General features: G+C 34.5%; 1 protein-coding gene across 8 annotated transcripts in view, besides 1 other annotated feature; it reads left to right on the forward strand.

The window, feature by feature from the left end:
* The first annotated feature begins 2,244 nt into the window (after nucleotides 1–2,244).
* Nucleotides 2,245–27,886, forward strand: part of NAALAD2 (N-acetylated alpha-linked acidic dipeptidase 2) — a 61,196-nt gene continuing 35,554 nt past the window's right edge. For 2 of the 8 annotated variants that reach the window (XM_047426168.1, XM_017017046.3), the window contains exons 1-7: nucleotides 2,642–2,749; nucleotides 5,253–5,386; nucleotides 6,105–6,216; nucleotides 17,876–18,062; nucleotides 19,552–19,653; nucleotides 21,028–21,153; nucleotides 22,844–23,030. In XM_047426168.1, the coding sequence (XP_047282124.1) occupies nucleotides 2,697–2,749; nucleotides 5,253–5,386; nucleotides 6,105–6,216; nucleotides 17,876–18,062; nucleotides 19,552–19,653; nucleotides 21,028–21,153; nucleotides 22,844–23,030 (901 nt within the window). In that variant the 5' untranslated portion in view covers nucleotides 2,642–2,696. Of the gene's footprint in view, nucleotides 2,364–2,639; nucleotides 2,750–5,208; nucleotides 5,387–6,104; nucleotides 6,217–17,875; nucleotides 18,063–19,551; nucleotides 19,654–21,027; nucleotides 21,154–22,843; nucleotides 23,031–27,886 lie in introns of those variants that run through there. The other 6 variants (NM_005467.4, NM_001300930.2, XM_017017043.3 and 3 more) reach the window with 5 other exon arrangements.
* Nucleotides 5,113–5,816: an enhancer, noted in NCBI's record as "H3K27ac hESC enhancer chr11:89867735-89868438 (GRCh37/hg19 assembly coordinates)". NCBI's record gives its function as "activates a minimal SCP1, AML or CMV promoter by ChIP-STARR-seq in primed H9 embryonic stem cells {active_cell/tissue: H9 hESC(primed)}" and the evidence as "EXISTENCE:reporter gene assay evidence [ECO:0000049][PMID:30033119]".

Raw genomic sequence — 27,886 nt, forward strand, 5'->3', positions numbered from 1 at the left:
TTAATAAAAATAATTCTCTTTTAAAATAACAAATGAATTTCAACTCACCACAATAAAAATATCAAATAATTTTAGTTTCTCCAATGGTTAACTCAAATTGTAAAATTGTTAAACACCCTCTTCTTGCTATTTTACTTTGTTAGAGATCTTTGAAAAATACTATAGAAGGCTGGGGCTTTCTTAGCCATTTGCCATATAACAAAGCCTCCTTTATCTATAGACATATGAATTTATTACATTATCACTAGGAGGGCTTAGTGACACAAGCCCTCCCTTTGGGTTTGTCTGTTTCTTTATGATGTTGGTGATCTTTGTTGATTTTGTGGTTGCCTGGTCTCCATGTATTTGGCTTGCCTGTATTTCCTTAGTGCAGTTTTCCTTTGAGGGGAGGTGAGATTCAAAAGCTAGATCATGTGGGTTTTTGGTAGCCACTCTAATGAGTCTAAATTTGGGGGAATTTGGGGTTGTTTATAGTTTTTATTTTTTCTCAGAGATCCTTGTTCTGATAAATTTTGTTTTTAAGTTTAAAGACAGGGCTTTGGAAAATTTTAAGTTATAACTTGATCTGATTTTTGACTTAGGAAGGACATTCTATTGAGTCAAAGATGGTCTGCAAAGGTGGAGAAAGAGAACCCAATAAAAATGCTTTACATGAGAGATTATTGTGGCTAAGATTAGAATAATGGCGGTGAAGATGGTAAGCAGCTAGATTCAAGATACATTTTGATTGCAGAGCCAATAGAACATACTAAAGAATTCTATGTGAGGTGTGAAAGAAAATGAGGAGTGAAGTGCCAAAGAATGGGGCACACTCAAATTCTACAATGTAGCCATTAAAACCACTGGAGAAAGTAGGATAATATCTTGGTGGGGACAATGATGAAAAAAGGAAGCAAATTATATAATCAGATGGAAGTGACTTCAGAAGAGAATGTGCAGGGAATAATGGTGACAAAGCAAAGATCTGTCCTTCCTCTCTGACCCCATGAGTCAATGGAGAGGCAAGAAAAGGAAATGTCCATTTAACTGGTTTTCAGAAAAAAGTGGTATCAAGTGAAAATAGGTGTCAGACAAGAGGGGGTAGAAAAAGATATGTTAGAGAGAGGATTCAAAATATAAAGGGATTTATACACAATAAAATGATACTAAAGGGATACAGGGACTGCAGCTGTAAATAAGGCTATAGGATGAGAGTTTGTGAAGGAATAGCACTGGAGGTACCCTAATCATGGCACTATTAGTTAAAGCTATTATGGAAAATAGCTTGAAGGTGCATTTTAATGATAAGGGATGAGCAATGTTAAATCGGAAAATCTGGTTTAAAGGCCAAGTTGTAAAACTTACCAGTGTCAAGGTTCCAACTAGAATGCTAGCATGATAGGAGGCATATCCTACGCTGATAAGAAGGTATGGATGGTCTATTTTACACATTTACCTGGTAGGTCTTTTCTAATTTCTACATTTATTGTTGAGTAGAGTAATTATGACATCAGAAGGAAATCATCCAATCATGGTTTCTGCTTTCCTTTTAAAATTTCTTCTCACTTTTATCAGTCTTTCACCTCTTCTCACTATCTAGACTTCTTTTGTCTCACCTCTCCTCTGTGATATAAGTTCTGGTATATTGTTTAATGTACTAATTTTCTAACATCTTATTTTATGTTTGAAACTAATTTTTGCCAATTTTGTGGCCCAGAATCTTAAAAATACTTAACCACAGTGGTTCATGTCTGTAATCTCAGCACTTTGAGAGGCCAAGTTGGGAGAATTGCTTGAGCCCAGGAGTGCGAGACCAGCCAAAGCAACGTAGTGAGACCCCATCCTATAAAAGAGAAAAGAAACAAATACCCAACTGGAATATAATTCTTGTGCTGAATCACAGCTATCATAACATCAACGATTCACATTTTTGAAAGTGAACATTGCTTTCTGGATGACCACAACATCATGTGGGCCTATTCATTTCCCTAGTAATGCCACCTTGTGACATCACTAAGGGCATAATGTCTGTATCTATACAGTGAGCCTCTCATATGCAGAATAAGGCAACATTTTCAAGCAAAACCTGAAATTTTGTGGCACAGCACCTGGTGAGACTGTGGGTTTGACAAATATCTCACCACTTTATCATCAAGTTAAACATTATTCTTTTTTATTAAAGCTTAATAATTAAAGCTTAATTCTGCAAGTGAAATTTATATATACTGCTTTATTAGTACATATATGACACTTTGTTTTCAAACATTGCCATAACCTGTTTGAAGGAACTTGAGCTTCAGGGTTACAAAACTGCTTCTGCTATGATGGAGAAGAGGAGGAAAAAATGCTTAGATAAGAGCAATTTAACTTAAATGGAGGAAGTGGTGAGTTTTGTTATGTTAGAGGCTCACTGAATCATGAGCAGGTCAAATGTGTCAAATAGCTTCATTGAGAGACTGGTTTTCAATACTCAAAGTTTTTATATACTATTAGCTTTGATGGAGAAATTGAAAAGGATTGCCCTACGTCAACAGTGTTGCTTTGTTAAGTGTGCTTTGCAAAGTACAAGTATTTGCCAAGATGGTAATAATTAGCAATTACTTTTTGATAGCAGCCTTCTGTTACAAACTTAATTAACATAGAATTTTGAATGCTTGCAGTGTCTATATTGACAAAAGTCCAAAGACTTGTTGAGCCAGCTAACTGGGCTTTTTACAATGGCTTTTCAAGATTGCAGATGCCGCCTACAGAGACGACAGTCATATTTGAGGTAACATTGCTCATTCTTGGAACTCTTTAATCTAATTTTAATTTAGGGAGATTATTCAAACTGGCAAACTGTGTTAAATAATGCATTGATTTATTCTATTACTCAAACTTCAATTAGCAATAAAAAACACAAAATGAGCAAGAAAAAATAAATTTAATAAATAGCTTAGCAACTTTATTCATTAGTTTCTACCTTCTCTTTCTTCAGTAAATCTTTTCCTGGAGATAATTTTGATCTGCCTCTTGAGGGCTATGTAGTCAACAGTGAATGGTCCAATGGGTAGCAAATAGAAAAAGCCAAGAGTCTAAAAATTGACAAATTACACAATCAATACCCAAAATGTTTATATGTACAAAAATAACATTTGATATTGTTTGAGACCTTTGTGTGTCACCTGTTAAACACTGGAGAGTTATTAAAATCCCAGTATTATTTCATAATGTCACACATAAAAATAATTCTGAGTGCTCTTGGAAAATGTTTCTTAAGCCATATTTGAGGGGTTTAGTTACTTCACTGGATATTGAACCTTTTGAATAATTCTATTCTAATTCCCTATATTTGGTGTTGTGTGTATGCATATAAGGGGGAACAAACTCACTTTGTTATGAAAATGTTTTTTGAAAGATGTTTCTCTCTAAAATAAAAAACACTGGAGGAGTCAGTCAAGGAATGTCTAACAGGCTAGTAGCTGAAAAAGCTGAAGTTAGTTGGGACTTAAATTGCATGCAAACATTTAGAAATCAACAGTTCATTAAGGAGGTTTGCTTCAAAGTTAAGTACCAGGTATGCTACAAAAGTTTCAAGAAATAAGTTATTAGGCATACCTATCAACAATTATGTTCAATTGATAGCCATTGAAATACAAGGACAAAAAAAAGTTATGTCCCAGAAAAATAAATTTCACTCTTCCAGTCACTTGTTAGGAGCAAAGGTGCATTACCTAAAGCTATCAGGGCTGCAGACAATGCTGTGAAGTTTATCCTAGATATACTACCATCTTTGAAATCAACATAGCAGTTTTGCTTTGGCTGAAAAAACTACTTTTGGTTAGATACGTGAAGCCAATCATAAATTCCTAAAATTTTTCTCTGAGATGAGATGGTTGGATGAAGGCTATTTACAATGGCCACTATTTTGCAAACCCATCTTTAAAGAGAAATGCTTCATGAATGTAGCATGGTGAGGACAGGGGAATGACAGGGACCATTGCTAATGTAGGGGTCAATGGAAAGCTTCCCCTTCACCCTCTGAAGTTTTGCTGGAAAATCAACTCACAAAAGGCAGACTATTAGAAAAAAAAAAGGCTTACAAATTTATGAATAACATAGCATAAGGGAATCGTAGTAGAATGATTACCCAATAACCAATGAGGTACAGATGATAATATACCCATCTTTTTAGAGGAAAGGAAGATGAGAATGTGTGTATAATTTTAAGAGGGTAGTAAATGAATTTTAGGGAAATTCAATGGGCTTGAAGAATATGCAATGGCCTGGGACAAAGTCTGTTGGCCCTACAGGGCAGACGAGAGTTTGTAACAGAAGGCTGCCAGTTGTATTGACAGACTGCAGTCCTTCTTCCTGAGATATTAGTTCGGTTAATGAAAACTCAGGAAAGAAACTCTTTTTTTTTTTGTTTGTTTGTTTTTGCCTTTAGTAGTTCTGGACTTTAGGCAGATAAGGGAACTTTAGAGAACAGCTTTATTCTGTGCTATGGGAGAGACAAAGGATTGAGAGAGAGGAGCTGGAAGAGAGGGGTATGGTCAGAGAGACCCCCTGGCTTCTTCGGTTTAGCATGTCAAAGCACCATATTTTGGGAAATTGGTGTCTGAGCTTTAGCATTAAGAACAGACTCTCAGTAACTACTGGCAGTGCAAGGTCCTTTCAGTGATTACTTTTACTAATGTGAACCTAAAACATTCCAGTGAGGTAGGTAAAAACCTCAGTTAAATGAGTGGAAACAGAATTACAGAAATGTGGAGTTTTGTTTAAGTAAAGGGGAACAAAAAAACGCAATCCCATCGATTTTGATGCTGACAGTGATTGCGGTATTAGTGATGTTAACAGCTTTAACAGCGGAGCACCCAGGACCAGAAATCATTTCCGAGTCTGACGAGTGGGAAATTACAGCAGAGAATCTGGAAGAAGAATAACCAATAGATCAGGAAAAGCAATACTTAAATTCACTTCTGAGCCGAAACTGGGCATTTTGGGGGATGGGCATGGCAAACAGCAGTAGAGTTCTTTAGGAAAAAATTAGGGACGTTTTCAGCAGCTCCCGCCACCTACTATGTCCGGGTTACTGCGGGATCCACAGAATGGAAGTTGCCCGCCAACAGGAAGAATGTCTCCTCCCTCTGCAGGGCTTCCTTTCCCCCATCGAGGGCCCCTGGGGACCACAGGTCCCCAGCGGGTAGGGCGGAGGCGTGGCCTTGCGAAGGTCAGCGGAGGCCACCCAGAGCTCACAGCCTCCTGCCAGCGCGCTCTCTGTTTCTCTGCAGCCCCGAAGCTCGCGAATGTAGCAGGCGCCCCAAGCTCGGTCCTCAAGAAGCCATGGCGGAATCCAGGGGCCGTCTGTACCTTTGGATGTGCTTGGCTGCTGCGCTGGCATCTTTCCTGATGGGATTTATGGTGGGTAAGTGAACAAAACACTCTACCCCGACTCCGGGGCTCGTGATTCTCTGCAGAGATAAAGGGAGAAATCCTGGAGCTGGAAGGGATTGGGCTGTGCGCTAGCCCTGGCCGGCTGGGCTAGATATGATAAACTCTGCACATTTCAGCAAAACTAGAAACCAGATGGAATGTATTTTGGGCTTGCTAATAGATAAAGTGTGCTTGAAATTCAAATTTATTAAATGTTCACTGAGTTCACTAAAGACAACCTACAGCTGTCACTGTCTGCAGGGATGAAAAAAAATCGTTTTATTTCCAAGCAACATTAGTGAGTCAAAACTTTCAACTAATACGGGCAGCATTAAAAACAAAGCAAAACGAAACAAAGCAAAACAAAACCCTGCTCTATACGTAAATAAATATTTGTGGAATGTTCCCTATGTGTCAGGGACTAGAGATCCAGGGAAGAACAACAAAAGCCATGCCTTCATGCATAACGTGAGAAAATGAAAGAGCTTCTCTTAAATAAAACTCCTTTTAAGCATCTAAAAATTATATTACATATCAGAATTTACAGGTTTTCTGCATTTAATATAAACATTATTTTTTAAAGCTCACCATGATCTACTTGTCAGATAAAGGCTTTTTGGGGGGAAGGACAGAGGGGTGGCTTCTAGTTTTAATAAAGTCAAAGTGATTTTGTGTGTATGTGTGCATGTTTGTGTATTTTTTTTCCTTAGGCTGGTTTATTAAGCCTCTCAAAGAAACGACCACTTCTGTGCGCTATCATCAAAGTATACGGTGGAAACTGGTATCCGAAATGAAAGCTGAAAACATCAAATCATTTCTTCGGTAAGTTTATTTTACGTATTTGATCTTAAAAATCATGTTTAAAATATCACAGTGAGAAGCATATTATACCTGGTTATATGCATGAGGACAGTCTTCTCTGTGTGAAATTACATATTAGTCATCAACTTTTTTTTTTTTTTTAATGTCTCTTTACACCAGTCTTGGGGTGAAAAAGTAGGTCTTTCTTCCCTAACTTTATGTAACAAAAAGTATCTGGTTGGCTTATTGAGAGATGTTTCAACTTCATGTAACTTTGGATCTAACTGAATGTTATTCTTTGTTCATCAGTGCCTGGGTTTTAATCAGCAATTTTCTTAGATACCATATTCTGTCAGGGAAAGTTAGATGATGGTTGACTAAGTGATTTAGTGGAAAAGTGATCAAAGTGTCTGATTCTGTCTGCCAAAAGTTAAACCTTTATCCCATCTTGCAGGTATAAATTTGTTTTTTACAAATAAGACAAAATGAAACCAAAAAGAATCATTGCCATTCCTCCAGCTTCTAACCATGAAAAACAGTGGAAATTGGGGGAGTGATCATAAACTCCTTAAGAACAATGGCCATGGTATTTATTTCTGTATTCAGACTCTTTCAAATGGGTGTTATTTTTTAAAATCAGCTTTAGTGAAGTATAATTTACATAAAATAAACTGCATCCCTATAAAGCCTACAATTTGAGAGTTATGACAGACGTATGCTATGCTGAACAAACCACCTCCTCCATCATGCTACAAAAATATTCCATTATGCCCTTTGCAGTTTATTCCCCATCCCCCTCCATCTCTGTCACTGGGCAATCACTAACCAATTTTATATCACTGGAGATTCATTTGCATTTTCTAGAATCTTATTTAAATGGAATCATATAGTATATGTTCTTTTGTATCTAGCTTCTTTTACTCAGAATAATGATTTTGAGATTCATCTAGATTGTTGCATGCATTAGTAGTTCATTATTTTTATTGCAGACTAGAATTCCATTGTATGGATATATTGCAATGTATAATTGATGGAAATTTGGGTTGATTATAGTTTTTGACTATTGTGAATAAAGCTGCTATGAACAGATGTTTACAAGTCTTTCTGTGGATATGTGGTTTATTTCTCTTGAAATGGTTGAGTTTGATGATAAGCATAAGTTTAACTTTTTAAGAAAATGCCTAAGATAAGTGAAAAGTGGTTGCATCATTTTGCATTTCTACCTCAAAATAAGGAAATCAGTATTCCAAAGAGATATGTGCACTCTGATATTTACCACAGCAATATTCACAATAGCCAAGATACCAAATCAACCTGATGATCAACTTCCATCAACAAATATTATGGTGTATATACAGGATGGATTATTACTCAGCATAAAAAAGAAAGAAATCCTATCATTTGTAGCAAAATGAATGGAACTAAATGTCATTATATTAAGTGAAATAAGCCAGGCACAGAAAGACACATATTGCATGATCTAACTCATATGTGGGAGCTAAAAAAAAATTGATCTCATGGAGACAGAGAATAGAATGATGGTTACCAGAAACTAGAAGGGTAGTGAGGAGGGCAGACAATACTGAGGGGTTGGTTCAATGGGTACAAAAATACAGTTAGATAGAAGGAATAAGATCTAGTATTACATAGCACAATAGGGCAACTATAGTTAACAATAATTTATTGTATATTTCAAAATAACTAGAGTGGATTTGAAATGTTCCAAACTCAAAGAAATGATAAATGTTTGAGGTGATAGATATCCTAACTACTCTGATTTGATCATTACTTATTGTATGCTTGTATCAAGATATCACATATACCCTATAAATGTGTACAAGTAGTAGGTAGCCATAAAATTTAAAAATAAATAATTTTAGAAGTCTATTCACGGCTTTGGCTTATTTTGTATTTAGATATAAGTTGTTTTCCCCCTGTGGAGTTTTTTGTTTGTTGTTGATGTTGTTGTTTTGAGACAGAGTCTCACTCCATCACCCAGGCTGGAGTACAGTGGTGCAATCTCAGCTCACTGCAACCTCCATGTCCTAGGCTCAAGGGATTCTCCCACCTCAGCCTCCTGAGTAGCTGGGACTACAGACATGCATCACCACACCCAGCTAATTTTTTTATTTTTGTTTATTTTATTTATTTTGTTGTTGTTGTTGTTGTTGTTGGTAGAGACAGGGTCTCATTATTTTGCCCAGGCTGGTCTCGAACTCATGAGCTCAAGTGACATACCCACCTCACCCTCCCACAGTGCTAGGATTACAAGCATAGGCCACCATCCCCAACCCTCCTATGGAGATTTTAGAGTTCTTTATATAGAGTTGACTCTTGAGTAATGTGGGCATAGGGTGCTGACCCCCCATGCAGTCAAAAATCCACACATAACTTTTAATTCCCCCAAAACTTAACTATTAATACCCTACTAGTGACCTTAGCAATAACATAGACAATTAATATGTATTTTGTATATGTATTATATGCTGTATTCTTACAATAAAGTAAGCTAGAGAAAAGAAAATGATTTTAAGAAAATCATAAGAAAGAGAAAAAGCATTTACTATTCATTAAGTGAGTGTAGATTTTCATGAAGGTCTTCATCCAGTCTTCACATTGAGTAGGCTGAGGAGGAGGAGGAAGAGGAGGGGTTGGTCTTGCTGTCTCAAGGATGGCAGAGGCAGAGAAGGTAGAGAAGGGAGTCAGGAAAGGCAGTCACATTCCATTTAATTCTTAGACATCATGTATGTTTTTTGCTTTTTCTTTTCTCTAAAAATATTTTTATACACTACCAGTTCTTCTTCCATCATTTGCTTTAGTTTTAGTGCCTATATCATAGAAAGGACCGTGTTGTAAAAGAAGTCAAAAGCAGTCTTGAATAATGGAAACCCTTCTGCCAGATTGTCTAATATCATCTTGTTTTCTGGCATTGCTTCTTCTGTGTCTTCTTCCTCATCACCTGGTACTGGTTTAGAAGTATTCATCTCCATCAAATCGTCTTCTGTTAATTTTTCTGGTGTCTACTAACTTTTGAATTTTTCCAAGATTACTATCATGAAACCCTTCATCCCTCAACTTTTTTTTTTTTTTTTTTTTTTTTTTTTTTTTTTGCCATATTCACAATCTCTTTCATGATTACCTTGTTTGGCTCTGTCATCAATCCTGTGAAGTCATGTCAACATCTGCACACAGTTTTCTTTAGCAGGAATTTGTTGTGTTGGGCTTGATGGCTTTCACAGCATTTTCTATAACAATGATGGCATCTTCAATAATGTAATTTTTTTCAGAATTTCATGAAGTTCTGTCAGGGTTCTCTTCCGTAGTATTGACAGTCCTTTCCATAGAGTGCAGTGAGCCTTAAAATTCTTATTATGACCCCTTGATCTAGGGGGCAAATTAGAGAGATGTGTTTGGGGGTAAGTAGACTACTTGATCTCAGGGTTTCTGGGTAGCCAGAGGTGTCTTCCAATACCAAAAGAATTTTAAAAGGCAATCCCTTCCTGGCAAGGTATTTCATGACTGCAGGAACAAAGTATGGGTGGAATCAATCTAGAACATAGGTTTCTGTTGTCCAGGCCTTCTTGTTGTACAAACAAAAGACTGAAAGCTGGTGTTTATCTTTTCCATTCAAGGCTTGGGGGTTAACAGCTTCATAGATAAGGGCAGTCCTTATCATAAACCCAAGTGCATTTGCACAAAACAGTAGAATTCGCCTATCCCTTCCTGCCTTAAATCTCAGTGCTTACATCTCTTCCTTACTCATAAATACCCTTTGTAGCATCCCCCTCTGCCCCCAGGATAGGGCATTTTCATTTGCATTAAAAAACCTTTTCAGGCAGATATGCTTTCTCCTCAGTAATTTTCTTAATGTCATCTGAAGACTTGTCTACTGCCTCTTGGTGAGCAGAAGCTGCTCCTCCTCTTATCTCGACACTTTAAGTTAAACTTCTTTCTAAATGTATCAAACCATCTTTTGCAGGCATACTATTCTCCACCTTTACCTTCCTTTTGCTTTAAATTATCATAGAATGACTTTGCTTTTTCTCAAATCACATTAATTAGAGTCTATAGATATGCCTTTCTTATAACAATCCTACACCCACATAAAAGCTACATTTTCAATACAAGAAAAAAAGGTAATTTGCAAAAGAACAAAGTTTTCACATTTGCAGGCATAGCTGCCATGACAGCTTCACAAACTTTTCCTTTTTTTTTTTTTTTTTAACAATAGTCCTTATGCTGGATTTATTTTGAAAATGGAGGGCAATCACAGCTGCATACCTCAGTCTACGGTATACCAAGCAATTCAACCTTTTCTTATAATGTATCATTAGTGGCACTTTGTATGGATCCCACGGTGTTATTCAAGGTTTACAGTATTGTACTAAACATGGTAAGAACTACATGAGAACCATGGGAGATCATTTTTTAAACTGCCATAAGCAATTTACTGGAGAAACAAACTGTTCAGGTAGTGATGATTAGGGAGATGATTAATATCACACAGTGGTTTAAGCAGATAGTCACCTCACAAGCTCACGGCAAGAGCAATAAGCTGTTGCTACAAAAGTATTACTGTAGTACACAATGTATTACAGTTAATTTTACATAATTATGATTTTATATTGTATCTTTATGTTTGTTTACATTTCTCTAGACTGCAAATGGCACCATGTAGTCTGTAACTGTATGCCTACGTTTTGATACATTTTAACTTTTTATAATAGATTCATGTTATTTTAAAACAGTAAATGATAAAATACTTTTACATGTACTTCATGCATTCGTGACAAACCTCTTCTTTTTTTTTTAATATTTCTAGGCTATGTGGTTCATTTATGAGTTTTTTTTAAATTGCTGCAAATCTCAAAAAAATTTTCCAATATATTTATTGAAAAAAATTCATATATAAGTGGACCCATGTTGTTCAAACCTATGTTTCAAGGGTCAACTCTATTCTAGATATAAGTCTTTTGTTGGAAATGCAGTGAACAAATATTTTTTCCCAGTCTGTAATTTGTCTATTTGCCCACCCTCATTTGCAGATCAGAAGTTAAAACCTTATTTTGATGAGGTTTAATTTATCAATTTTTCTCTTTTTGGATCATGCTTTTGGGTTCATATCTAAGAACTCTTTGATCTGGACTTTGACCAATTTTGTCTTCTTTTTTCCCCCAGAGATTTATAATTTACCTTTTACATTAAAGTTTCTGACCTATTTTGAGTTATTTTGTGCATAAAGGTGTAAGGTTTAGGTTGAGTTTATTCTTTTGCTTGAGAATGGCCAACTGCTCTATCACCATTTGTTAAAATGTTATCCTTCTTTCATTTAATTGCTTTTGCACCTTTGTTAAAAATTGGTTGGGCGTATTTGTGTGAGTCTATTTCTAGATTCTCTCTTTTGTAGAGACAGAGTCTTATTCTGTTTCTGGGTTTTATATTCTGCCCTATTTATCCAGTACCATACTGTCCTGATTATTAAAGTGACATAGTAGATTTTAACAAAACATAGAATGATTTCTCTTACCTTATTCTTTTAAACTATTATTGTAGCTATACTATATCCCTTACCTTTTCATTTAAAATATATAATAAACACATATTTGTCTAAAAAACTATTGGTGGAGCTTTGATAGGAATTACATTAATCCTATAGAGCTATTTGGGAATTCTTGACATTTTTGCTATGTCCAGTCTTCTATTACATGAACGTGGTATGTTTCCAATTGTAGATCATCTTTCTTTTATCAGCATTTTGTAATTTGCATTAAGCAGATGCTTTACATGCTTTGTTAGATTTGCATCTTTCATTTTCTTTGGAGCAAATGCAAATTATATTGTGTTTTAATTTCAATTTCCACATACTCTGTTGTTAGCATATAGAAATACTGTTGTGTTTGTGTATTGATGTTGCATCCTGTGGCCTTGCTGAACTCTAAGAAGGTTTTGTTTGTTTGTTTGTTTTGGTTTTGGGGGGGTTTTCTGAGACAGAGTCTTGCCATATTTCCCAGGCTGGTTTCAAACTCCTGGAGTTAAGCGATCCTCCCACCTAGGCCTCCCAGAGTTCTGGGATTACAAATGTGAGCCACTGGACTTGGCTGGAAGGTGGGAAAGAGTTTGGTTTGTTTGTTTGTTTTGGTTTGTTTCTTGTAGATTCATTGAAATTTTCTATGTAGACAATAATGTCATCTTCAAAAAGGGAACATTTCATTTCTTTTTTCTTTCTAACCTGTATGCCTTTTACTTTTTTAAGAAAAATTGCCTCTTTGTGCTGACTGGAAACTCCATTACTCTGTTGAATAAGAGTAGTAAGAGTGGACATTCTTTTCTTTTTTCTAATCTTAAGGAGAAAGATTTAGTTTCACCATTAAGTATGATGTAGCTGTCGTTATTTTGTTGATGCTCTTTGTCAAGTTAAGAAAGCTCTCCTCTATTCCAAGACTGCTGAGGGTTTTTATCATGAATGGGTGTTGAATTTTGTCAAGCGCTTTTTCTGTATCAATTAATATGATCATATGATTTTTCTTTTTTAGCTGGTCGGTAGGGTAATTCCTTTATTTCTTCACTAATTTGGGAGGGGGTCAAATTTAATCCAGAGGTATGTTATAGTTTTCTCCACGAATGCGAAATTGTCTATTTGTCCCATTAACTTGCTCAGTTTTTACTCTATGTATTCTGAGGCTCATTCATTAGGCATATACACATGGACGTTGCTATGTTTTCAAAACAGAATGACCTTTTATTTTTATGAAATGTGCTTAGTTATCTTTAGTAATAATCTTTTTAAGTCTATTTTATTTCATATGAATGGAGCCACGTCAGCCTTCTAATACTTATGTTTATATACGATGTCTTCTTCCATCTACTTACTTTTAACTATCACTTTCATTAGAATTAAAATGTACCCTCTATAGAGAGAACACAGTTGTCATTTGCTGTTTTATCCATTTTTGTAATCTTAATTTAAGTATGCCCTCTGTGGGCCGCATATAATAGATATTTGCTTTTTTATCCACTCTGGTAACCTCTGCCTTGTGAGTATTTAGTCCATTAACATATAATATAGTTATTGATTGATATAATTAAACTTAAGTCTGCCACTTTTTGGTTTGTTTTCTGTTTTCTTTCTGTACCTTTACTCATTTTCTGACTTTTTGATAGTGGGGAAAATATATGAAATTTTATTTTATTTCAATTTATCTTTTGGCTATACCTCTTTGGCTATACTTTTTAGTGGATACTCTAAAGGTTATATTATACATCTGTAATGTTTCACTGTATTCTTAAATTTACTACTGTGTCACTTAATACAAAATGGAGAAACTCACATTTCTTTATGTCCATTTACTCTCTCCCCCACCATCCTTTATAAAGTAGCTGTCATATGTATTATACATACATGAAATATAAACCTCAAAAAATAATGTTATATTAATGTTATATTTTTTCTTTGAACATGTATATGTATTGTAAACCAATTAAAGTTAAAATTAGTATTTCATGTTTCTTAGGTATTTATCGTTTTTGATGCTTTTCATTTGTTTCTGAAGATTTAGGTTGCCTTGTGCTATTTCTGTTGAGTCTGAATAACTTCCTTAAGTATTTCCTGTAATGTGGAGTCTGATGGTGACAAATTCTTAGTTTTTCTTCACCCATAAAATTCTTTACTTCAACTTTATTCTCCAAACATATTTTTCCTGGACATAGAATTCTGGGTTGACTCCGCTAATACACATGAAGTTTTTAGAACTTTAAATGTTTCACTGTCTTCTAGCTGCTATGTCATCTGATGAGAAGTTTACAGTCATTAAATCATGTAACGTCTTATTTTTGTCTTTGATTTTCAGCAGTTTTACTATGTGTCTAGGCATAGTTTTCTTTAAATTTAGCCTGTTTAGGCTCTCTGAGCTTCTTGACAATGTAAATTTATGTCTTCTATTAATTTAGAAAGGTCTTGTTTACTATTTCTTAAAATATCTTTCTGTACCATTCTTTCTCCTCTTCTCTTTTAATACTCCAGTTAAACCCTACAGACAGATACACTGAGCGAAGTACATACACTACAGTTAACAGACAATCCCTGACTTATGATGGTTTGATTTAGAATTTTTCAACTTTATGATGGATTTATCAGGGTATTAAATGCATTTTCAATTTAGTAATATGTTTGACTTTCAATGCGTTTATAGGAACATAACCTCACCATAAGTTGAGTAGTATCTCTATTTTCTACCCATCTGTGCTGTTGATGAGATCACAAGGTTCCATGTTAGTGTCTATGGATGAACTCGAGTGAGCTATTGTAATGAGGAATAAATCAGCTATAATGTTCTTATTAAATTTCAGCTTATGTATTATCAAGGCACATCAGATATCAAGAGATTAGTTCAAAATGTCTGTTGTGAGGTGCTTTTTTGATGATACAGGAAAAGAATGAGTAGGAATGAACATCACTTGAAGAGAGATACACATACAAAAATTACACACCAAGAATGATGACAAGAACAGGGATAGAGGGAAATACACCATATTAGGAGCCCCCAACTTTAATGAATGAAGAGGCATGACTCAAAGTTTTGTAGATGACAGTACATACCTAGAAGGTGTAGTGGGTGGTGACTTTTGTTGTAAGCTTCAAAAAAGCTGTTAGTTTTTAAAGAAGATAAAAGAGATATATTTGAAAGAGCCAGTGGAGAGTAAGAAGGCCTCCTAGCTGAATTTTAGCCATGAGCTATATGGGATCATGGAAAATAAAACAGCCGGCATGTGAGCAGGGTCCTCAGAGGAAACCAGTTAAGACAAGGAGGTTGGCTGGGCACGTTGGCTCATGCCTGTAATCCCTGCACTTTGGGAGGCCAAGGAGAGTGGATCACCTGAGGTCAGGAATTCAAAACCAGCCTGTCCAACATAATGAAACCCCACCTCTATTAAAAATACAAAAAATTAGCTGGGCATTGTGGCATGCACCTGTAATCCCAGCTACTCAGGAGGCTGAGGCAGGAGAATTGCTTGAACCTGGGAGGCGGAGGTTGCAGTAAGTCGAGATTGTACCACTGCACTCCAGCCTGGGCAACAAGAGCAAAACTCCATTAAAAAAAAAAAAAAACGGAAAAGAAAGACAAGGAGGTCAAGGAAACATTCAGAGAAGGTGCTGAAGATATAAGCGAATAGTTGATTGCAGAGCTAAAGGGTTAATGAACACAGCAGAAGAGTTTAGAAGGCAAAGGAGGGCTTGAAGAGTGGGTTAAAGGGCTTAAATGTGGGAACAATTGTATTTCTCCCAGCCACTTTCTTTTTAACAGAGCCTCAACTTTGAGTGTTCTCCCTCTCTCAGGAGGGTATGTGTTCAGTAAAGGTTACCTTCCTCCCAGCCCAGGAATCTCTTGATTAGTCCATAAGCCAATCATTACCCTCCCTCTAGCAATGGTTGATTTGAGAAGGGGTAAATGACCCTATTTTGCCTAATGAAATGGGAGAAAAACTTGGCTAAGATCTTCTAGAAAAATGTTCCTTTGTTAAACACAAAAGAAGGAATAGTTGTTCTAGTTTGTACTTGTTTCTCCTGAAGTTACTGGGTGAATATGTATGCCTGGCGCTGTAATGCCCATCTTGGGACCATACAGAGAAACCCTGATATAAAATAAAGGATGTTCTACCTTCCTACTCTTTTTCTGTACTTCTCTATTTCATTTCAGGGGGTTCTTGAAAAGATGGGAGGCAAAAAAGTTCATGGCTAATCCTCCCTCCTAATTTAAGGAAATATATATATTTTTTCTAATTGCAAGAATCATATCTGCTCTATGTAGAAACAAAAATAATGAATTGTATAAAGTAGAAATTAAATATCTCTAGCTGTTTTGCTTTTTTATTCCTATACATATAAAATAACTTCTGTCTGAACACATTTGTACTTTTAAAAAATAAATATGGTAAGAAATTAAACATCTGATACCTGCAGTTTTCATTTTCTGATATAGAGAAAGACATCTTCTGAGAGAAGATGATGCTTGAAGAGTCCTTATGGATGATTAATAGTTTGCAGATGAGAAAGGAGAGTGATTAGAAGTGGTGATAGAGGGAGATTCAGGTAGATGGGACAATATTTTTGGTTGAGATAAGACATTGTGCAAAGGCTAAAAGGTATTAAAGATCATAATCATTTTATGAGAAAAATAAGTATACTCAGTGACAGAGAGTAGAGGAATTTATAAGAGAGTGATGTGGAATTAACCTGAAAAGACAGAAGACAGGACCTAACCTAAAAGTGCTTTAGATGCCATGTTGGAGTGTGGACTTTCTAATGCAGGGTACAGGGAGTTGTAGAAGAGTTTTAAGCACATGGGTAATAACAGCAGATGAATTATTTAGAAATATCACTATTTCTCAGGATCGGGTAACTACAATTTTGGATTCCAGTTCCAGCATTTATTAGCTGTAAAATTATGAGTAGATTATTCAGTCACTCTGTCAGTCTCCTCATTTGCAAAATGGGGATGACAGAAGAAGGATTGTGATGATTAAATGAGAAAACACATGTGAAAGTGAATGTAGAGTGCTTGTCATACAACAGGTTTTCAATACATGTTAATTTCCTTCTACTGCTGTATATTTTGTGGCTGTCATCCGGTTAACTAAAAAAAAAAAAAAATTAAAAAAGGGTTTATTTTTGTTCTACTGATGGTGGGGGAGTTTAATTTTTTTTTTTTTTTTTTTTTTTTTTTTTTTTTGTGATGTAGTCTCACTCTGTCACCCAGGCTGGAGTGCATTGGCATGATCTCGGCTCACTGCAACCTCCGCCTCCCAGATTCAAGCAATTCTCCTGCCTCAGTCTCCCAAGTAGCTGGGATTACAAGCACCCGCCACGACGCCTGGCTAATTTTTTGTATTTTTGGTAGATACGGGGTAGTTCAAGACCATGTTGGCCAGGCTGGTCTTGAACTCCTGACCTCAGTTGATCCACCCTCCTCGGCCTCCCAAAGTGCTGGGATTACAGGTGTGAGCCACCATGCCTGGCCAGGGACTTTAAAAATATTATTCACCCCAAGTAAAATAAATCTCACTAAGAACTATGTTTGTGGGGTCACTTAAATGTTACAACTCATTTACATCCAAAACCAAGAGAACACTGCCCAAATTAAATTCAGCAAGCCTGTACATTTTGGGTAAAAGGCAAGAACTAAGCACTAGGGGATATGAAAAATAAAAATGCATGGACTTTGAGATCAATGAGATAAATAAGCAACTGCATACATGATACAATCAACAGTAGAAATATATAAGATAAACATGGAAGTGCCCAAGTGGTCCCTGCGAGAGGTTAAGATCTATTTTTTTTTTCCAAAATGTCTCTGTTCTCTGACAAACAGCAAAAAGGAACATTATTGGTATAGAAGTATGACATTCTTCCAGGGTGTCATCTCATATCTGAGCCTTTGCTGATTGTATCTACCATGAAATGTGTTCTTTTCTGAGGAAGCATAATATGAAAACTGCAGTTGTACACAAATAACTTAAAAATTGGCCTATCTAGAAACTGGTAGCATTAGCTGTGTTTCTTTTATCTGTCATATAGGAATGACAACTTAATGCCCAATGCATAAGTAGTGCATTTAGAATAGTTCTTAGGCACATCGTCTGAGCATAGTCTTTAATGCCCTCTTATGTTTTATTTTCATTTTAGTTCTTTTACAAAGCTTCCTCATCTGGCAGGAACAGAACAAAATTTCTTGCTTGCCAAGAAAATCCAAACCCAGTGGAAGAAATTTGGACTAGATTCAGCCAAGTTGGTTCATTATGATGTCCTCTTATCTTACCCCAATGAGACAAATGCCAACTATATATCGATTGTGGATGAACATGAAACTGAGGTATGTGAAATTGTTGGTACTTTTTATATTTTGCAATCCGACCGTTTTATGTGGATTGTAATGTAGGGTCAAGTAAAAGTAGAAATTTGTTAATAGTGAATTATTCAGTATCCACTATGTGTTCGACATGGTGTTAAGTCCTGAGGCCAGAATAAGACTAAGGCATGGTTCCTTTGCCTAAGTAAGTTGAGGCAGACAATGGAATACTTCAGACCTCAAATTAGTATGGTAAGTGCTATGAAGATTATGATTAGAATTCATTATTTACCCAGAAAAGGGTCACTCAGCCCAGCCTGGGAGTTAGACAATGTTTCCTGAAGTCTTGACACGTGAGTCATGAAAGGACATAGGAGTTAACCATGTGACAAAATAAGCTAAGAAAATTCTCAACAAAAGACAAAATATTGGCAAATGCTTGGAGGCATATACTAGCCTAGTTTTATTGGGAGAATGTAATGATTTTCTGTATTTCAAAAGTGTAAAATATGAAGTAGGCCACGATATGAGATAAACCAGTAAATATGTTCTGGGAACAGATCATAGAAGGGCGTGTATGCTGTCCTAGGGAGCTTAAACTTCAACTTCAGTTCACGGGAGCCAATGACAAGTCCTGAGCAGGGGAAGGATGTGGCTAGAGGGGCATTTTAGATAGACAACGTCCTCTATGGATCACACCTAGGCTAAGCAACGGGTTAAAGTTGTTGTCTTAAGACAATAGTCCAGGTAAAAGATAATAAAGTTTTAAATTAGGATGTTAGTAGGAATGAGGATGAGGGATGGATTTCAGAAATAGTAAGGAAATGTATTAGCAGGACTTGATTAGTGATTGACTTGGGGAAGGAGGGGAAGATAGAGTTCAGGATGACTCCGAGACTGTCTGGTGTGGGTGGCTAATGACTGAAGCTATTAATAGAGGTAGGAAATGCAGATCAAAAGCAGGCCCAGGGTGAGAGATGATAAATTTGAATTTTAACATGTTGAGTTTGGACATCCAGGATGAAATAACCACCAAACATTTAAATATATGAATCTGAAAAGGTAAGCATCATAAGCATATTAGCTATTGGTAAAATTCTGATACTTAATGAAGTGTCGCAGGGAGGGAGTACAGAGGCAAGCAATGGGCTGGGGATAAAACATGGGGAAATATTATTTAAATAAAGATGAAAGAAAAGGAGCCCACAAAGGAAGCTGAAAAGGCATAGTCAAAAAAAAGAGGATCACCAAAGTGCCACCTTTGAAGCTCTGCTGTTACACTTTATAAGGAAACTTTTGGTTACCTGGGATTGCATGCATTTATAAAAGTTTCTATTGTTAGGAAGACAATAATAATGATAAGGCTCTTTCTCATTGTTGTCAGTGTAATTTATCTATTACAGAACCTTGTTCCAGGATGCTTAATCTGAAGTATATACTTGGAGGCAAAATGAATTATATCTTAATAATAATCTGGAATTTTTCTAACTTGACATATTTTAATTCTTGCTAGATTTTCAAAACATCATACCTTGAACCACCACCAGATGGCTATGAGAATGTTACAAATATTGTGCCACCATATAATGCTTTCTCAGCCCAAGGCATGCCAGAGGTAAAATAAAATACTTTTGTAATCCAAGTCTTTAAATGGTTCTTTTGCTATGTAAAACCTGTATGGAGGACTAAAACCAAGGAAATTAGGTGAATCATTCATGCGGGTTCCTTGTTTGATATTCAGTACTATGAAAACCTCATCCCTCAAATTAAAAAAATTACAATAAAATAAAATAGAAAAGAACACCAGAGAAAAAAGAAACAAAACAAATACATTAAAAACTGACCCTGCTGAAGCAGTTGCCACTCTCTGAAATAACAAACTGCTGAACATGCCTTTCAGTGAGGCAGTAGGTGTTTTTTTGTTTGTTTGTTTTTGTTTTTGTTTCGTTTTGTTTTTTTGAGACAGAGTTTCGCTCTTGTCACCCAGGCTGGAGTGCAGTGGCACAATCTCGGCTCCCTGCAACCTCTGCCTCCGAGGTTCAAGCAATTCTCTTGCCTCAGCCTCCCGCGTAGCTGGGACCACAGGTGCATGCCGCCACATCCTGCTAATTTTGTATTTTTTTTTAGTGGAGACGGGGTTTCTCTATGTTGGTCAGGCTAGTCTCGAACTCCCGACCTCAGGTGATCTGCTTGCCTCAGCCTCCCAAAGTGCTGGGATTACAGGCGTGAGCTACCGCTTCCGCCCAGCAGTAGGTGTTTTTACAAGCTTCTTTCCATTTTTCATAATTTGAATATTTTATGGATTCATAGATAGGATTTTATAGATCATACCATAGAGGTTCTTAAATTAATGCAATGGTTGGAAATTAAATAAATATAGTTAGGATCTTTAAAATGACATTTATTTACTCTATTCCCTGTGGCTTTGTATACACTGATGATTTCTTCAACACAGGACATGCTGTTTAGATATGTCTGGCTGGGTGTGGTGGCTCACACCTGTAATCCCAGCACTTTAGGAGGTTGAGGCGGGCAGATCTTTGGAGGTCAGGAGTTCAAGACCAGACTGGCCAACATGGTGAAACCCATCTCTACTGTTAAAAAATACAAAAATTATCTGGGCATGGTGGCGCATGTCTGTAATCACAGCTACTCTGGCAGCTGAGGCAGAATCACTTGAACTCAGAAGGTGGAGGAGGTTGCAGTGAGCCGAGGGAGTGCTACTGCACTCCAGCCTGGGTGACAGTGAAATTCCGTCTCAAAAATAATAAATAAATAAATAACTCTTATACATTGTCGTTTTTTAAACTTTTCAGGATTTTAAAAGATTCTCTAATGAATTCTGCATAATTACTGTGGGTCTGTTTATTACTCCCCAAATAAAGAAAGGAAACACTTTTGATGATGTAGTATTGTGAAGCAAACTTATTTTTTGTTTTTTTTTTTCTTTAATTTTAGCAGTATTATATATATTTTCTTTTCCCTATAGGGAGATCTTGTATATGTGAACTATGCTCGCACTGAAGACTTTTTCAAACTAGAAAGAGAGATGGGCATCAACTGTACTGGGAAGATTGTTATTGCAAGATATGGAAAAATCTTCAGAGGAAATAAAGTACAGTATTATTTGTTTTTCTACAGAGAATGAGAGGATATATATATTCTGTAAATGTAAATGACCAACTTGCTTCTCTGTTTCCAAATTGCTTTCAAACATTTCTTTTCTTTTTTTCTTCCTATTTGCCATGGGTACACGGAAACTCATGTTTTTATGTTTTCTTACATACCTGGAAAAGGAGATTATTTTGAATCATTTTTATTATAAAAGTAATATTTGCTTTTAGAAATTTAATTGAAGGAAATTTATATAAAGTAAAAAATGAAAAGCTTCTCTGCATTACCCACTTCATTATTCAGATATAATCAATCTTAATAGCTTTTTTCAAACCTAATTCTGTGACATATAAATACATCTGTCCCTATATGTCCATTTTACATATATTTATTTATTTACTTTTACATTGTATATTATAAGACTTTATTTTTTTTCATTCAGCCATGACTCATATTCTTCATGTCCACATGTTGAGAGTTATGTAATACATTGGTTAAGAGTATAGAACCCTAGATCCATATCACCTGGGTTCTTGTCTAGTCTGGCTCCTATTCTTTCTAGATCTTTTACTGTGAGCATGTTACTTAACTTCTCTGTTGCAAAGTTTCCTCACATATAAAATGCGAATGACGAGGGCACCAATCTCATAGAGTCCTTATTGAATGACTTTGTTTGAAAGCACTTAGGAAAGTGGCTGGTACTTAGTAATTTCTATATAACTGCTTATTAATTACCTCAGTATTTTAAATGATGGCATCATATTTCACAGAATTGATAAGCCATTTATTTAACCATTCCGCTACTGACGATGTTTGTCTCATCTTGAATTTGTTACTATTACAAATAATTTAATTGTGAACATCTTTGTCCATATATGCTCCAGAAATTTGTGTGAAGATTATTGTAGTATAGATTCATAGAAATTAAATGGCTAAATAATAGTGTATATTCTTTCAAAATTTTGATAGACATCATCAATTTTCCTTCAAAAAGTTGTGACAGATTATACTCTTAGTGATATAACAGGGTGTTCTCTAAATATTGGAATGCATTTTTATGAATCAAGACTGTTATCCATCTTCTGCTACAATACTTTTGGTGAAGAAGAATTTAGTATCTCACAGGGTACATTTTCCTATTTTTGGCCAGTTTGGATTGTTAGAAAGATGTTTACAAAAACCCTGGGCTGTTTTTCACAAATATGACTGCTCTGCATACAATTTTAAATGAGTTTAGTTCCATAAATATTTGTAGAATGCTTACTCTATGATGTGCGAGATTTTACAGGGCAGTAGTTTAAAATTAAGAACACATGGTTCAAGTTTTCAAAAACACCCTCAGCCTAATAGGAGAGATAGATATTTAATAGATGTTTTAATACATTAAGAGCTATCCTATAATATAGAAAATATAGAACTACAAAGAAGGGACATGAATTCTACAGTTGCAGGTTGTAATAGGAATGTTTCACAGAAGAAATGATAACTCGTTTAGATTTCCATGGAATAATGGAAGTCTGTTAGGTCTAATAGGTGGGAAATTGTGTTCAAAGCCAAGAGAACTGAATGTGTAATTGTATGGTAAAAGGCAGTGTCTAAATATCCTTCCATTATTAAATTAATGTCTTTCTTATATGAATAAGCCAACCATTTGCCATATCTGCATTATGAATTGCACATTGCCCCTGCAGGTTAAAAATGCCATGTTAGCAGGAGCCATAGGAATCATCTTGTACTCAGATCCAGCTGACTACTTTGCTCCTGAGGTACAGCCATATCCCAAAGGATGGAATCTTCCTGGAACTGCAGCCCAGAGAGGAAATGTGTTAAATTTGAATGGTGCTGGTGACCCACTCACTCCAGGCTATCCAGCAAAAGGTAAGGGATGAGCCTATCAGTCCACCAATTTTGCAAAAATACTCCTTGCCCTTTTAGAAGGAATACAAGCAAGCATGTTCAGAATAATATTAAACTAAAATTGAGTACACTTATATCATTTTGGATTACTGCTGCTAGGAATTTTAAAACATTTGCTCTTGTATTATTTTAGTTTTAAATTTTCATGAGATGTCGGCATGGGGAGTAAACACTCAGTTCATACTCTCCTTCTTCCTTTATTAGAGTTCAGAAATACTGATCCTCATACCTAAAGTAATGCTCCTTTTAACAAATGACAATTTAGGTTTGCTGAATTACCGATAGATTGTATTTTTAAAAATACAATAGATAGATTGAATTATCGATAGATTGTATTTTTGAATTACATTTTTTAAAAAAATGAGTTTTTGTGTTATTTAAAACATAAAATTGGAAGTTTTACATATGTGAAATGATTTCTACAATCAAAATAATTAACATACCCATTATCTCAAAAAAGCTTCCTCTCGTCTCTTTATATTCCCACCCTCCCAACTCTTCCTTCCCACTTCATCCAATCCCTAGGCAACCATTCATCTTGGTTTCTGCTGTCAGCATGATTATTTTGAGATCTGTCCATGTTGGCATCTTTGTCAATAGTTTTTCTTTCTTTTGCTGAGTAGTATTCCCTTGAATGGCTATAGCACAGTTTATTCCTTTACTTGTAGATGGACATTTGGATTGCTTTCAGTGTGGGGGCTATTACAGATAAAGGTGTAATGAACAGTTGTTGTACAAGACCTTGTATGTACATGTTCTTTTATTTCTCTTTGGGAAATACTTGGAAGTGAAATGCCTGAATATTATGGTTAGTTGGATATTTAACTTTTACAGAAATTTTAAAATTGTTTTCTGAAGTTGTTTCACTTTATATTTCAACAGCAATGTATGAGTGTTCTATTTGCTATGTCCTCACCAACATTTAGTATGTCAGTCTTTTCAATTCTACATTCTAACAGATGCATACAACTTCCAGGTTACAACTCTTCTATTTTCAAAACGTTTTGTCTAATTTTGGTCCTTTCCATATGAGTTTTAGCACTAATTTACAATTGCCACCAAAAAGCCTCCTGGGAGTTTGATTGAGATTGAATGAAATCTATAAATCAATTTGGGGAGAATTGGCAATATTTGGGAGAATTGAATTAACAATATTGAATTTTCTGATCCATAAATAAAATACAACTTTGCAGTCTTTAATTTCTTTCAGCAGAGTTTTATAGTTTCACTGTATGAATCACACATACCTTTTGTCAGATTTATCCACAAACATTTCATAGTTTTATGCTATTGTAAAGTTTCAATACCAATTTTTCTTTACTAGGAAATGAAAGCATTATTCTATTTCTAGAAGAAATACATTGGTCTTGTATCCTGCAAACTTGTTAAACCCATCGATTCTGCTAGGTTTTTGTAGCTTCTATCAGCATTTTTACATACATGATTATGTCATCTGCAAATGAAGATAATTTTATTTCTTGGCTTTCAATCTACATGCCCTTCCTTCCTCTCTCTCTCTCTCTCTCTCTCTGTCTCTCTCTCTCTTTCTTTCTTTCTCTCTTTCTTCTTTTTGCTTTATTGTACTGGCTAGACCCTCCAGGACATTTTTTTTCTTTCTTTTTTGTATATACATTTTATAGAGGTACTCCAGTACAATGTTGAATAGAAGTTGTTACAACAGACATACTTGCTTTTTATTTCTGTTCCAACAGGGAAAGTATCCAGTCTTTCTCTGTTAAATATTATGTTAGCTCTAGGTTTTTTATACATTCCCTTTGTCACAATGAGGAAGTTTACTTCTATCCTAATATACTGGGCGTTTTCATTAGAAATATATGTTGGATGTTGCCAAATGTTTTTTCTGTGCACATAGAGATGATCATATGTTATCATTTACTTTTGTTAAATTATATGATGTTTTTAATGTTAATCCAACCCTGTCATCCTAAAATAAATCCCATTTGGTGACAATGTATTATCCTTTTATATATTGTTGAATTTTTGATATATTTTTCTTAAGAATGTTTCTGTCTATGGTCATAAGGGATGTTAACCTGTAGATTTAGTTTCTTGTAATATCTTTGTGTCATTTGGTATCAAAGAAATGCTGGCCTCTTAGCATGAGTTGGGAACCATTTCATCTTCACTTTTTTGCAAGAGTTTATAAAGAATGGGTTCAATGTTGTCTATAAATATTTGGTAGAATTCTCCAGGGATCTATCTGGGCCTGAAGTGTTTTATGTAGAACTGTTTTTCACTACAAATTGAATTTCATATATATATATGTAATATATGTAATATGTAATGTTACATAGTATATACGTATACATAATATGTATATATTATATACGTATACATAATATATGTATATATTATATACGTATACATATGTATATATTATATACGTATACATATGTATATATTATATACGTATACATAATATGTATATATTATATACGTATACATAATATGTATGTGTGTATATATTATATACATATACATAATATGTATATATGTGTGTATATATTATATACATATACATATGTATATATGTGTGTATATATATTATATACGTATACATATGTATATATGTGTGTATATATAATATACGTATACATATGTATATATGTGTGTATATATATTATATACCTATACATAATATGTATATATGTGTGTATATATTATATACATAATATGTATATGTGTGTGTATATATTATATACATGTATAATATATGTATATAGAATGTATATATTATATATGCATATATGTATATATAATGTATATATTATATATAATATATAATGTATAATTATATATATTATATATTACATGTATAATATGTAATATTACATATTATACATGTAATATATAATATATATAATGTAATATTACATATTATACATGTAATATATAATATATAATATGTAATATGTAATATTACATATACATGTATATATTATATATAATATATTATATATAATTATATATAATTACATATTATATATGCTATATTATATATGATATATAATGTGTAATATATAATATATAATATATATGTAATATATATGTAATAATATATATTACATATAAATTACATATATATTAATATATATATAATTATTACATATGTATGTATTATTATTGTATGTATGTAATACATACATACATATGTATGTATTATTATTGTATGTATGTAATACATACATACATATGTATGTATTATTACATATGTATGTATTATGTATGTAATATGTATTATTACATACATATTACACATATATAATATATAATATATATGTAATATATGTAATATATATGTTATATATATTATATTATATATAATATGTAATGTATATGTAATATATATTATATATTATATAATATGTAATATATATGTAATGTATATGTGATCTATTTATTCTCAAGTGAGCCTTGGTAGTTTGCATTTTCTCAAAGATTTTTGTCCATTTCATCTAACTTGCTGAATTTATGAGCATAGAGTGGTTTATAATATTTTTGTACTATTCTTCTGTCTGCAGGTACTAGAGTGATATTCTCTCCTTTATTCCTGATGTTAGCAATTTAGTCATTTCTCCTTTAGTCCTGATCTGTCTTGTTGGAAGTTTATTAGTTTTATTGATCTCAGATAACTAGCTTTGGGTTTCATTGATTATCTTTACTATTATTTTTGTTTCCTATTTCTTTTTTTAAATTTAAATAGAGACAGCTCTTGCTATGCTACCCAGGCCAGTCTCAAACTCCTTGACTCAAGCAATCTTCCTGCCTTGGCCTCCCAAAGTGCTGGGATTACACACATGAGCCATCAGGAACCCAGCCAGTTTCTATTTCTTAGATGTCTGCTGTGATATTTATCATGTGCTTTCTCCTGCTTATTTTGGCCTTTATTTGTTCTTTTTCTAGTTTCTGAAAGTGGAATCTGATGTCATTTGTCAGAAACTTAACTTTTTTTCTACGATGGATTATTTAGTGCTATACCTCTCCCTATAAGCACTACTTTAGCTGCATCCTACAGTTTTTAATATATTGTGGTTTTATTTTATGTTAGAGACAAGATTCCACTCTGTCACCCTGTCTGTCACCCAGGCTGGAGTGCAGTGGTCCAACCATCGCTCACTGTAACCGCAAACTCCCAGGCTCAAGTGATTCTCCTGCCCCAGCCTCCCAAGTTAGCTGGAACTATAGGCATGTGACACCATGCCCAGCTAATTTTTTAATGTTTACTTTTAGAGATGGGTCTTGTTGTGTTGCCTAGGCTGAGTGTTTTTATTTTTATTTGGTTCCAAATACTTTCTGATTTCCCTTTTCATTTCTACTTTGACCCATGGTTTATTTATAAATGTGTTATTTAATTTTAAAATATTTGAGGATGTTCTAGGTATCTTTCTAATATTGATTTCTAATTTAATTCCACTGAGGTCGGAGAACATACTGAGAATTTACTGAGACATGTCTTATGGCCCAGAATATGGTCTCTGTAATACATATTCTATATGCACTTGAAAAGAATGTATATTCTGTTTTTGGTTGGAGTATTCTATAAATGTCAATTAGGTCAAATTAGTTAATAGTGTTATGAAAGTCTTATATACTTACTGATTTACTATCTAATTATATTGTTACAATTTTGTTTCAGCAGTCAATTATCTCATGAAGCTACTTACATAATAAAAATCTCATGATAGAACTATTATTTTACATATTTTATTATTTTTAAAGTGTTTCATTTACATAAAATAAGGTGAATAAAAAATAAGGTGTTTCAGGCATGAAGGTAAATTTGGTCCCTTTAACTC

This window comes from Homo sapiens, chromosome 11 (assembly GCF_000001405.40).
Source record: "Homo sapiens chromosome 11, GRCh38.p14 Primary Assembly".
Taxonomy (NCBI): domain Eukaryota; kingdom Metazoa; phylum Chordata; class Mammalia; order Primates; family Hominidae; genus Homo; species Homo sapiens.